Here is a 13,217-nt window from a genome sequence, read left to right as displayed (position 1 = left end):
ATTCATCTTTCTCATAGGCGGGTGGTAATGTGACCCCATATTCTCCTCGCCACCTTAAAAAATACTCAACAGCTCATTGTGATTTTCTGGATAAACTCTAGACTTGCTAGTGCGTCATACAGGCTCTGAGGCTGTTCCCAGTCTGGTCACCACCTAACTCTCGTTTCTTCACTCAAACTTGACGGCTTTCACTAGCATAGCCACCTTTTAATGTAATGTAGTATTTGTTTGCCAAAGAATACATGTTACATGCATGTACATTATCAAGCATACCATAAAATGGAAGACACCTATTAAACTGTCATCCTACTTAAGACCTAGAACATTCCTAATGCTCTCAGTACCTGGCCAGCCCCTCCTTGTTTTCTGTCACCTTTCCATTTCAGATTGGGTTAGGTGGTCCCCTTTGCTGCTTCTGATGGCACCAGTACTTGTTCCTACCACTGCTCTTCTCGCTGTGTCTTAACTCCTTTCTTGTTACTACCCCCCACTGGAGTGTAAGCTCCTTTGGGTTAGGAATTGAGGTTTAACTTCAGTGCTTGATACAGAGTTAAATGCTGTAGGATAGGTGGTCCCCTACCTTACCTCTCCTTTTTTTAAAGTATACGGTCCAGTGGTTTCACAGAGCTGTACAACCATTACCACAATTAATTTCAGAACATTTTATCACCCCAAAAAGAAACGCCATACCCATCAGCAGCCACTCCCCATTGTCCTCTATCCTCCTTAGAGTTGATATCATCAGGCCAAATCCTAAGTTCAGGTGGGAGAGCCATTATTCCTTTGCTGTTCCCAACTCCACATCCAGCATGGGGAGATGCAACCCAGGACACAGTAACTTGAACCAATGGAAATGAGCTGTCCTTATGACTAGCTTCTGTGTTTTCTAAGGGAGTAGAAGAGAACTTTATTTCTGAGAATAAGTAGGCAAAGAGTACAGGAAGGCCCAGGAATGAGGCTTCGTGGGCTCAGATCCTAACACTTCAATTTGTTAGCTGTATGATTTGAGGAAAGTCACCTAATCTCCCAAAGCCTCTATTTCTAATAAAAATATAGATAATAATTCTTGCTTTAATCCCACAGGGTAATATATTTGAAAATATTTCAGAAATAATAATGTGCCATCCAGTGTAAGGAAGGGGTTATTATTTTATTTGTTACATGACTCACGAGTACATGAGAGCTCATTAAAAGGTGAATGATAGCCCGTCGGTGTGTAGAGAGACTTAGAAAAGCTGTAGTCCCATGCCCTCCATTTTTGAAGGGAAAATTGAGGTTCACAGAGGTTAAGACTCATTAGTGACTAAACCAGGACTGGAAGCCGTGCAACTCCCAGCTTCTGATCTAGGATTATTTCCACTGTGCTCTCCTGCCTCACTCTCCCACACAAACTAATTTTTGGGGTTGGGCTTTAAGGTAAAACCAGCGTACAACACTAACTAGAGGTGGTTGATTGGTAGAGATGTGGAAGCAGAGCCATACTTGTTCAATTAAAAAAAGATTTTAGAATCACAGCAGAATGACTGAAGGGCAGGATTAAACTCAACAGTTTGCATTTTTAAATCTAAAATGTTTATCTTATCAGTAAATTTGGCTGCCTTCCCTTCCCCCTCTGCGTCTCCAGACAGAAGCCGATTATTGGGTTTGATTTTCGGTATTAGGTGCCTCTTGTACTATTGCTGAACAACCAGCAGAGAGAAGGTGATCCCATTGACGCAGATGTCTCATCAGCCACATACCATGAGGTCCTTGAACAACCAAGACCTTCTGGTTCTAATATTATAATGCAGAAAACCCATAGAAAGGTAGTTAGCGGTTCCCTCAGTGTAGCAGAGCCATGCGGTGAGTCATTTAAAGCTGCAGGTAAGCCAAAAGCAATTCTTTTCAGCTTTGGAACATACTTAAGGCTTCTGCGCAGGCTCGCTCTCATCAGATTTCTAACCTTTCTAAATAACAAGGCCATACTGTGAAGACTGTAAACTCTGGAAGTGACTAAAAATGTGGTCAGGCTTCTGCCTTGCACCTGTCAGTCCTTAAACCTTTTTGGAACACCAGACTCCAGGCTCAGCATAACCATGCTTTCAAAGCTGTCACTGGAAGACAGAAAGTGAAGATTTTCTTTTAAGAGTCCATCTAGTGTGAATTCGAAATTCAGATATCTTCTTTTTTAACTGCTGTAGTGTCAGTAAAACACTTGGCAGATAATAGGTTCCCAGGAGTTCTCAAAATAAGTCTGAGTGATTGGGGTAATCGGCTGCTCCTTTGGTCCCTGGCTTTGTGACTTAGGAATACCTCGTTCTCTTCCCCTGATCCCATGCCCTGTTCCAACTGGGCCCTGTAAGGTGTGTGTTCTCCCGCAGGTGGCTGGAGAGCGATACGTCTACAAATTTGTCTGTGACCCAGATGCCCTCTTCTCCATGGCTTTCCCGGATAACCAGCGTCCGTTCCTGAAGGCAGAGTCCGAGTGCCACCTCAGCGAGGAGGACACCCTGCCGCTGACCCACTTTGAAGACAGCCCCGCTTACCTCCTGGACATGGACCGCTGCAGCAGCCTCCCCTATGCCGAAGGCTTTGCTTACTAAGTTTCTGAGTGGCGGAGTGGCCAAACCCTAGAGCTAGCAGTTCCCATTCAGGCAAACAAGGGCAGTGGTTTTGTTTGTGTTTTTGGTTGTTCCTAAAGCTTGCCCTTTGAGTATTATCTGGAGAACCCAAGCTGTCTCTGGATTGGCACCCTTAAAGACAGATACATTGGCTGGGGAGTGGGAACAGGGAGGGGCAGAAAACCACCAAAAGGCCAGTGCCTCAACTCTTGATTCTGATGAGGTTTCTGGGAAGAGATCAAAATGGAGTCTCCTTACCATGGACAATACATGCAAAGCAATATCTTGTTCAGGTTAGTACCCGCAAAACGGGACATAGTATGTGACAATCTGCATCGATCATGGACTACTAAATGCCTTTACATAGAAGGGCTCTGATTTGCACAATTTGTTGAAAAATCACAAACCCATAGAAAAGTAAGTAGGCTAAGTTGGGGAGGCTCAAACCATTAAGGGTTAAAAATACATCTTAAACATTGGAAAGCTCTTCTAGCTGAATCTGAAATATTACCCCTTGTCTAGAAAAAGGGGGGCAGTCAGAACAGCTGTTCCCCACTCCGTGGTTCTCAAAATCATAAACCATGGCTACTCTTGGGAACCACCCGGCCATGTGGTCGCCAAGTAGAGCAAGCCCCCTTTCTCTTCCCAATCACGTGGCTGAGTGTGGATGACTTTTATTTTAGGAGAAGGGCGATTAACACTTTTGACAGTATTTTGTTTTGCCCTGATTTGGGGGATTGTTTTGTTTTGGTGGTTGTTTTGGAAAAACAGTTTATAAACTGATTTTTGTAGTTTTGGTATTTAAAGCAAAAAAACGAAAAACAAAAAACAAAAACAAACCTTTTGGTAACTGTGCACTGTGTCCTTTAGCCAGGGCCGTGCCAACTTATGAAGACACTGCAGCTTGAGAGGGGCTTTGCTGAGGCTTCCCCTTGGCCATGTGAAAGCCCGCCTTGTTGCCTGCTTTGTGCTTTCTGCACCAGACAACCTGATGGAACATTTGCACCTGAGTTGTACATTTTTGAAGTGTGCAGGGCAGCCTGGACACAAGCTTAGATTCTCTATGTATAGTTCCCCGTGTTCACTAACATGCCCTCTCTGGAAAGCATATGTATATAACATGTGTCATGTCCTTTGGAAACCTGGTCACCTGGTGAAAACCCTTGGGATTCTTCCCTGGGCATGACTGATGACAATTTCCATTTCATCAGTTTGTTTTGTTTTCCTTTTTCTTTAAATCTTGGACTTTAAACCCTACCTGTGTGATTCAGTAGGGTTTGAGACTTACGTGTGATACTGACAGGTAAGCAACAGTGCTAGCATTCTAGATTCCTGCCTTTTTTTAAAAAGAAATTATTCTCATTGCTGTATTATATTGGAAAAGTTTTAAACAACCAAGCTAAAGCTATGTGAAAGTTGAGCTCAAAGTAGAGGAAAAGTTACTGGTGGTACCTTGCTGCCTGCTCTGCTGGTAGAATTCTGTGCTCCCCGTGACACTTAGTACATTAAGAATGACTACACTGTTCCTCGTATGTGAAGGAGGCAGTGCTGACTCCGTGAGTGTGAGACACGTGCTTTGAACTGCTTTTCTATTCATGGAGCACTCCATAGTCTCAAACTGTCCCCCTTATGACCAACAGCACATTTGTGAAGAGGTTCGCAGGGATAAGGGGTGCACTTTATAGCTATGGAAACATGAGATTCTCCTCTATTGGAAGCTAATTAGCCCACAAAGGTGGTAAACCTGTAGATTGGGCCTTAATTAGCATTGTACTCTAATCAAAGGACTCTTTCTAAACCATATTTATAGCTTTCTTAACCTACACATAGTCTATACATAGATGCATATTTTACCCCCAGCTGGCTAGAGATTTATTTGTTGTAAATGCTGTATAGATTTGGTTTTCCTTTCTTTACTTACCCTGGTTTGGATTTTTTTTTTTTTTCTTTTGAATGGATTTATGCTGTCTTAGCAATATGACAATAATCCTCTGTAGCTTGAGCTACCCCTCCCCTGCTGTAACTTACGTGACCTGTGCTGTCACTGGGCATAGGACAGCGGCATCACGGTTGCATTCCCATTGGACTCATGCACCTCCCGGATGGTTTTTGTTTTTTTCGGGGGTTCTTTGGGGTTTGTTTGTTTGCTTCTTTTCCAGAGTGTGGAAAGTCTACAGTGCAGAAAGGCTTGAACCTGCCAGCTGATTTGAAATACTTTCCCCTGCGCAGGGCCGTATGCATCCTGCCAAGCTGCGTTATATTCTGTACTGTGTACAATAAAGAAGTTTGCTTTTCGTTTACCAAGCACCCGAACCTGCCTCTTTCTTGCCCTCATTGGTCTAATTTTAAAGCAGGCAAAAGCCCCCTGGCTTTCTCTCCGCCCCCGCCCTAGCCCTCTCAACAATTTAGCCTTACCAATGGACAGTGGCATCGAGGGTAGTTAGGGAACTCTGTTACCTGGAAATAGATGTGCACAGCTCCTCTTAAACTCCAGCTAAAAATTTAATCCAAAGAGGTGGAAAGTCGAGAGATCCTCTTCCCAGCCAATGGTGAGCTGAGATCACCTCATCCCCTTGAGCCCACCAAGCCACCAATTCTTAGTAACTCTTTTTTTAAGTGTAGCCCATGTTTCGCTTTGGGTTGTGTGAAAAGATTACAAAGCAGTCTAGGACTTTCGAGTCCCAGAATTATCCTCAGCCCCTTATGTGGATACTTTGAAAACCAGTAAGAACTTAAGACCATTCATTTTCTAATTTTTCCCCAATAAGTTTTGCTCTTGACAAGTGAAAAATCAATTAATGGTTGATAAATAACGAAAAAAGCTCAGGAAGGTTTTGCCCACTATGTTTTTTTCTGGCCGTGCAGCAGTAAAAACCTCCTCCTCCAAGTTTGTCTCTTTCTCGTGAATATGTATCACTCGGGAAATACGTGGAAGGAAATAAAGTTCGCCGGGTTGTATTGCGGTGTTATTACGGTTATTACGGTTTCTAGTGCTCTTATTTCACCCTTTTTCTGCACCTCTAATTTGGCCTTCTCAAGACTCCTATTACAGTGGAGAAATAAAGTAGAGCCTTTTTTCAAGCCTAGAACAGAAGGCTTTCTGTCAGTTTATCTGCTATCTTTCTTTACTGTTTTACAAGCCTCTAAGTGTAGAAACATCGAGACTGAATGAGTGCACCGCCTCTTGAATTGGAGCTTGTGAGGAATGAATGTCTGCCACATAAACCCCATTAGCTTCGACAGATTAAGAAAAGATGCTTGGGGAGAAGGGGCAAGGGTGCGCAGGAAAAAGCCGTCTCTGCCTCTCAGCTTCACCATGATAAGGCTTTAACAATCCGCTCCCCATTATTCACGGGCTCGTTATCCAGCCTGGGCCCGGACCCAGATCGTTAACCTAACGCAGGAGGTCACCAAACACTGCCGCCCTTCTAGTGTTGGGCGCTAGGATAAGGAAGCTCAGAGAATGGGAAGTTTACTCTGCATCAGGGTCCCCTTTCATGAGCCAAGCCAGGGAAACAATGCGTATTCAGTTGTTAGATGACAAAGAGGTAGTGTGAGCGCAGAAGAATGTGGTTTTGAGAGCCAGAGTATGTGCAGAATCTAAATTCTAATGCAGCTGGGACAAATGTAAACTAATGTGGAAGAAAAACACTAATGTACCCAGACGGTTGGAAACTTTGGAGAGACCGTTCATTGCCCAGCGGTGCAGGTGGCTGCTACTCAATGTGTGGCCTCTGAAATACAAGAGAAAGGAAAAAAGTCCAGAAGATCATCAGTTTAATACAAATGCATAGTGTAAGTATTGTTTAGTACAAATACATAGTGTAAGTATTCTATTCAACATAAGTGTATTGTACTTAAAATAGGGGGAGGGTGTGAGGGTGGTACCAGGCGAGCGGCTATGTCCTTTTGATCCCGGCAAGTACACTGGTGTCCCATTCAGAAGGGGCCCTTTGAATGACCAGCCTTAGCTCCTCCAACTTTAAGAGCTGGCTCTACACCCAAGCCTGGGTTTGTTGACCTTGGCAGTGAACCTCAGGTAACCTTTGGGTAGCACTTTACACAGCACTTTTTCATCTCCATTATCTTTTTGGCAGGCTTTCTGAAATGGTAATACTGTTGAAATTGAGTCTGAAAATACCATGGCTGTTAGCCTCCAAAATTAATTTCTTTTTTGGAATTTTCACAGTGGCTACTGTGGAAAGAGGACTAGTCCCTTGGAGCCTAGACATTTGGGTTCTGGCCCCAGGTCAGTGGTTGATTGGGTTTAACTAAATGGTCTCAGGGGACCATCTGGCCTAACCTCCTAGGTTCATTGAGGGCACTGATGAAGTACTACTCCCCGATCTCATAGGCAGTAAGGGAGAAAGAAAGGAGTTTCCTAGGGGAGTCAAGGAATGTGTGTGCGTGTGTAGGAGAGTTAACAGTTAAGAACATCATTCTCAAGTCACCATTTTTAAGCAAGCTCTGAAGATGGCTCAGTTCCACCATTAATGGCACATTTCTTCTTTTTCAATCATCCACTGAGCACCTGCTAGGTGCCAGGCACTGCTGGATGCTAAACATAAATGATTTAGGTGGCATTTTCAAGCTAAAGCCCTGTTTGTGGTATAGTAATTGTGTGACAACCTCTTACATGTTTAAGTGCTATACTTTCCAGGTAATACTTAAACACCACTGACACCATCTTATCCAGACTATGTTGACCAGAAGCTGGGGAGGCTGGGGCATTTATCCTCCAACTCCTGCCCTTATTGGTTGAAGGTTATCCCCAGAGATGTTAACTCTTCAATATATATCCTATCAGGAAGAGAAGAGTGTAGATGCAGATAATCAGTGTGCTAGGAACTGTTTTCAGATGCAGTTAGCTTAGGGGGTTGAGGGCACATGGAGCTGGCATCAGTGATGTCTGTGACACCTACCTTTAACAATTAGCCGGACTCTCCTGGATGACCTGTTTCCTAGAGTGAAACAAGGGTGAGTCTGTGCTTTCATCATTGAGTTATCATGTACCAATCATCGATGATGTGTAAGACACTATAATAGACACTTTGCAGGTGAAGATAAGGGAGTCACAAGCCCACCCTCTCCTTCAGCACCCAACAATCTAGTGGGGGAAACATTTCTCCAGGTGAAACTAGAATGCAAGGTATAATATACTGAGTATTACTCATCCAATAAATAGTGCCTAGTCTATGCCAGGTACTGCTGTAGGATTCGTGGAGGGAAATAAATCTCTGCTCTCAAGGATCTTACATCTGGGCAAGGGAGGAAAAAAACAAATGATAGAATTTGTTAGGTGTTAAGTACTATGGGATCAGGGAAGGGAAATGGTGAGTAGTGGGAGTGGAGGGTTGCAATTTTAAGTAGGGAGGTCAGGGAAGGTCTCAGTTGAGCAAAGACCCAAAAAAGTAGCTGCCAGATGGATATCGGAAGGAAAAGCCTTCCCTGCAGGGGGAAGAGCAAGTGTAAGACCCTGAAGCTTTGAACATGCTTGGAATATTTATGGAACAACAAGGACTGTGAAACTGGATCCAGGAGTCAGATGGAACATTGTTAAAGTAACGGGTTGTATCATCTGGGGCCGTGTAGGCTTTTTAAGGACTCTGGCGTTTACTCTGTTTATGTTTAGCTGTTAGAGTTTTTTGAGCTAAGAAGTGACATCATCTGATGTGTATTTTGAAAGATCACTCTGACTGCTAAGTTGAATATAGACTGTAGGGAACAGGGAAGGAAGGAAGAAGATCAAGTTGTAGGAGGCTGCGGTAGTCCAGGCGGGGTGAGATGGTGGCATGAGCCAGGGCATAAGGAAAGCATATATGAATATATTTGTAAGATAGAGCCAACAGGCTTTGGACTTGCAAGGTGAGAAATGAAAGAGAAGTCAATTATGTCTCCAAGGTTTGTGGCCTGAGCCCAAGGAAGGTTGATGTTGCCATTTACCAAGAGGGAGAAGACTGAGGAGGAACAACGTGGGGACAGGTGGGGGAAGAACAGGCATTCTTTAGGGGGCATATTAACTTTCAGATGCCTTTGAGAAATCCAGTTGGGAACACATTGGGTTATACAAGTCTGGAGTTCAGGGGAGAGATCCAGGCTGGAGATAGCAATTAGGAGTTGTCGGCATGCAAGAGAGTATCTAAAGCTAAAACTGGATGAAATCACTAAGGGAGTAAGTATAAATAGAAGAAAATTTCCAAGGACTGAGCCCTTGGACACTCCAAGATTAAGAGGCTGGAGAGACAAAGAAGAACCTGAAAAGGAGGTTGAAAAAGAGTGGCCAGTGAAATAGGGGAAAACCGGGAGGGTGTCTCCAGGAGGAAGGAGAGAGGGACAATGGCCGATGCTTCTGATGTGTCCAGTACGGTGAGGACTGTGGCTGGATTAGCAATGTGGAGGCCATGTATGACTTGCAGATGCCATTTCCAGAGTGGCAGAGGCAATAGAACTGATCAATACTACTAGAATCCAAAGGAGGTTTGAATGTACCCTCAGTTGGGGACAGGGATCAGAGAAGTTTCCATGGATTTCAAAATCCTGGATTTGAGTTCAGCTCAGCCTCTCTCACTAGCCCTTCTACTCTCAGACCTTCAAAGGCTGAAAAAGGCCTAGGAACCCTGCCAGGTAGCTGGACTGGAAGATACAAGGTGGGAAAGAGTATCTGAGGATAAAGGAAGAAGGATCAAGATCCTGTTATCACTACCTTTCCCATCCCCTTGGGGTTCTATTTATTCTCATGTTGTGCTCTTAAAATAAATTTCTATTTTTGAAATGTTAAGTGTTTTTAAATAACTTTTTTCATATTACACAATTAGCATATGTTCTTTGTAGAAAACCAGAAAAAAATCATAGCCCAAATTAAAAACTATTCTGAAAACTCAACCTAGAGATCACAGTTAACACTTTACATCTTCCCAGATGGCTTTTCTCTATACTGTATTTTAAATATTAAAAATGGTCATGCTATACACTTTACAAAGTCTTTAAACTTGTTTTAAGCATTGTATTTTGAACATCTTTCCATATCAAGAAAAACTCTTTTACACCATTTTTAATGACAGGATGCCATTCCATAGTACGTATGTAACATCATATATTTAAGCAGTCCCCTTTGCTGGAGATAAAGGGACCACAAATATGATATACCCATGCCCACCAAACCAAGTAATCTACACTCCCCCCAGCCCAAAATCAAACAAATGACAAATAATAATTTGGGTCTTTTCTATTGTTTTAATTAGTAACCAACTCCTATTAATTCTACCTTCTAAATATCTCTAAAATCCATCTCCATCATCAGTACCGTAAACCTCCCAATATCTCTCACCTGGACTGTTGCAGTCACCACCTAACAGGTCTCACCACATCTTGCCCCACCCCCGCCCCTTCTGCATGATGTAATCAGAGTGATTTGTTTTTAAGCGCGAGTTACTCCCCTACTTGAGACTTTTCAGTGATACCCACTGGAGTGGCTAAAGTAAAAAAGACCAGCAACACCACATGTTGGCAAGTATACAATGCAGGCAGGAGTGTTAAATGGTACAACCAACTTTGGAAAACTATTTGGCAGTTTATTACAAAGGTAAACATACATCTACTCTATGATCCAGCAATTCCAATTCTAAGTATTTGCCAAAAAGAGATATAAACATGTATTACAAAAAGACGTATGCAAGAACATTTATAGAAGCTTTATTTACAACAGCCACTCAAAACAACCCAAATGCCCGTCAACCAGAGAACAAATAAACAAGTCATGGTATCCATACAACAGAATACTACTCAGCAATAAAAGAAAATGAACTACAGATACACATAGCAGTATGGATGAATCTCAAAAACATTATGTTAAACTAAATAATAACACAAAAGAATACATACTGTGTTATTCTATAATATATGAAATTCTAGAATAGCCAAAACTAACCTATGGTGATAGAAAGCGGTAGCAAGGGATGGGTGGACAGGTATTGGCGGGAAAGGGGTAGAGGGAACATGCTGGGGTGATTGACAGAAATTGTCTATATCTTGGTTTGGGTGACTGTTATATGTATATGTTTGTTAACATTCATTGAACTGAACACCTGAAGTCTGTGCATTTTATTTTATGTTAATTATTCCTCTGAAAATATAGTCATTGTTTGAGATAAAACCAAAATCCTGAACTTGGCCTTTGGCAATACCTCTTCAGCCTCACCATGCACCATCCTCTCCCCTGTAATATATGTTCCACAGCCCCTCGCCTTCTTCCAGTGTCTCAACCATACCTTGATCCCTCCTGTTCCATCCTTGACACGAGCTATTCCCTGGAGCTGAAATGTTATCCCGCCCCTGAATCCATCTCTGGCCTCCAAGCAGCTTACCCTCCACCCATTCTTTACTCTCATTTCTAAGAGCACCCCAGGGAAAACAATCAGTTTATCTTTCAAATAAATGAATAATTGCATTTTCCAAGCCTTCCAAGATTTGCTCTCATTCCCCTCCAACACCATTTTAATACTCTTTCAGTGCTTGCTATCTATTTTTTATAGAACTTCTCACAATTTTTAACCTTTCATTTGCAACATTAGTTACTTGGCCTCCCCCAATAAACGGTACATTTTATGAAGGCAGGACCGTACCTAACTGCTTTATCTACGATAAAGAGTAGGTGATTAAGAAATATGTATTGACTGACTGAGTGCAGTTATGAGCATCTTTGTTCACTTACGACTTCCAGGATAAATTCCTAGAAGATATATGATTTGGTCAAAAGGGGGGCAAATTTTAAAGCCATTTATATAGACTGCAAAAAGCCTTCCAGAAAGATTGTGAGGATTTGTACCTTTACTAGTATCCTGCAACTTCTTTCGCCTAGGTTCTTACAACCTTTGTCTACATTGGGCATTATTTGTATGTACCCCTCTGTTTACCATTCATTCTTTCTTATCTTTATTCAAATAATATTTATTGAGCACTTATTATGTACTGCGTTCTGAGCCAGATGTTGAGGATGAAATGATGAATTCGATCAGTAGTTTTCACATTTTTTCCTTACCTTCTCTCTAAAAGAATTTTGAAAATCTAGGTATCCTTTAGCACTGTTTTAAGTCGACCCTTAATAATTTCCACCGTATTGTAAAAATAATTTCCCATTTATTATAAATTCTGACATTTAAAAATATTATCACAATTTAGTTATTAAAAATGCAAAATTAGCTGGGCATGGTGGCAGGCACCTGTAATCCCAGCTACTCAGGAGGCAAGGCTGGAGAATTGCTTAAACCTGGGATGTGGAGGTTGCAGTGAGCTGAGATTGTGCCATTGCATTCCAGCCTGGGCGACAAGAAAGAAACTCCATCCCAAAAGAAAAATTTTTTTTTTACTCTATTATACCTGTATACAACAAATTATTTTAGATAATTTCCTTTGACAATAAAGCTATATATCTTAAAAATTATTCTGTATTTAGTGATTACAAGTATTAGTTCACAATTGATCAAAAAACATAAATATATCACCAAATCTGATATACACTTATTAAACATAAAAAGTAAAAATCTGTCTGAATTGAATCTCTGAATGAGCTAGATGGGAGTGTTATTGGTTTTGTCCACTAGTTCACTGCAAGAATGAGATGGGTTTAGCATCAATTCTATTCCTATTTTTCCATTTTAAGTCTAAGAAATATCATGTGGCAGAGAGTGCTACCTGTCCACCAAAATCATTTTTCTTCTCTTTCAGTAATAAGATTGTTAGGTAAATATGCGGGTGGGCTATATTTCCCAGCATTCCTTGCAGTGTGGCTGTGCCCATTATCTATATATTGCCTCTCAGCTCAAATTCACCCTTGTCTGTTTCCTCTGTAAAGTTGATCTGGGCCCTTTAAACATTTTTCCTTTGGTGGCTGGCGCTGAAGCTTTGGGGTGCTAGAGTGATACTGAAAGAGAAAAGCATTTTACTTCCTAGTTCCCATGTGCAGCCTCCTCCAAGGATCACAGCTTCTCCAGTGCCCAGCTACTGCAGTGCACAGTAGTCAGCAGCACCCAGCAGCCGGCAGCTTCCCTTGGCCCCCACCCTTCCAGTCAGTTTTGTAGCAGGGTGGGTTGAGCAACTTTCCCTGGCAGCCAATAGGGTAGATTTCCAGCAAGTGCAACCAGCAAGGCACTTCTCTGCCCTTCAGCGAACAACAGCCATGCCCTGCTGTGCAGTAAAGGATTAACTCAGTTCACATTGTCCAAGCCCCATACCTTCAAAAAAAAAAGGAAAAAAGAAACGTATTGGAACATCCTGCCTGATAAGAGTGTCTTTGTTTATCTAGGACCTTAGGCCACGCCAGGTAGTCTATGCTAACGGTGTGATTTATAGTGGGGGTCTTGGTATCAACTGGCCTCTGGAGGAGCTGAAGACTTGAATAACTAAGGTCAGCTGTGAGCACAATCAGCCATGCCTATGTGATCAACCCCCAGTACAAACCCCGGACACCAAGGCTTGGGTGAGCTTCCCTAGCTGGCAATACTTTATGAGTGTTTTCACACATCATTGCTGAAAGAATTAAGTACTGTCCATGTGACTCCACTGAGAAAAGACAACTGGAAGCTTGCATCTGGTCTGTCCCAGCCTCTGCCCTATGTGCCT

At 42.3% G+C, this 13,217-nt stretch overlaps 1 protein-coding gene across 1 annotated transcript in view; it reads left to right on the top strand.

Annotated features, from left to right (window-relative positions):
* The window catches only part of ETV5 (ETS variant transcription factor 5), a 62,776-nt gene extending 57,869 nt beyond the window's left edge, over positions 1-4,907 (top strand). The window contains exon 13 of the mRNA NM_004454.3: positions 2,361-4,907. Within this exon, the coding sequence (NP_004445.1) occupies positions 2,361-2,582 (222 nt within the window). The 3' untranslated portion in view covers positions 2,583-4,907. The remainder of the gene's footprint in view (positions 1-2,360) is intronic.
* Positions 4,908-13,217: the final 8,310 nt, after the last annotated feature.

The sequence above is a fragment of the Homo sapiens genome, chromosome 3, assembly GCF_000001405.40.
Source record: "Homo sapiens chromosome 3, GRCh38.p14 Primary Assembly".
In the NCBI taxonomy this organism is placed as follows: domain Eukaryota; kingdom Metazoa; phylum Chordata; class Mammalia; order Primates; family Hominidae; genus Homo; species Homo sapiens.
The sequence above is the reverse complement of the archived record's forward strand: the minus strand, read 5'-3'. Positions and strand labels throughout refer to the sequence as shown.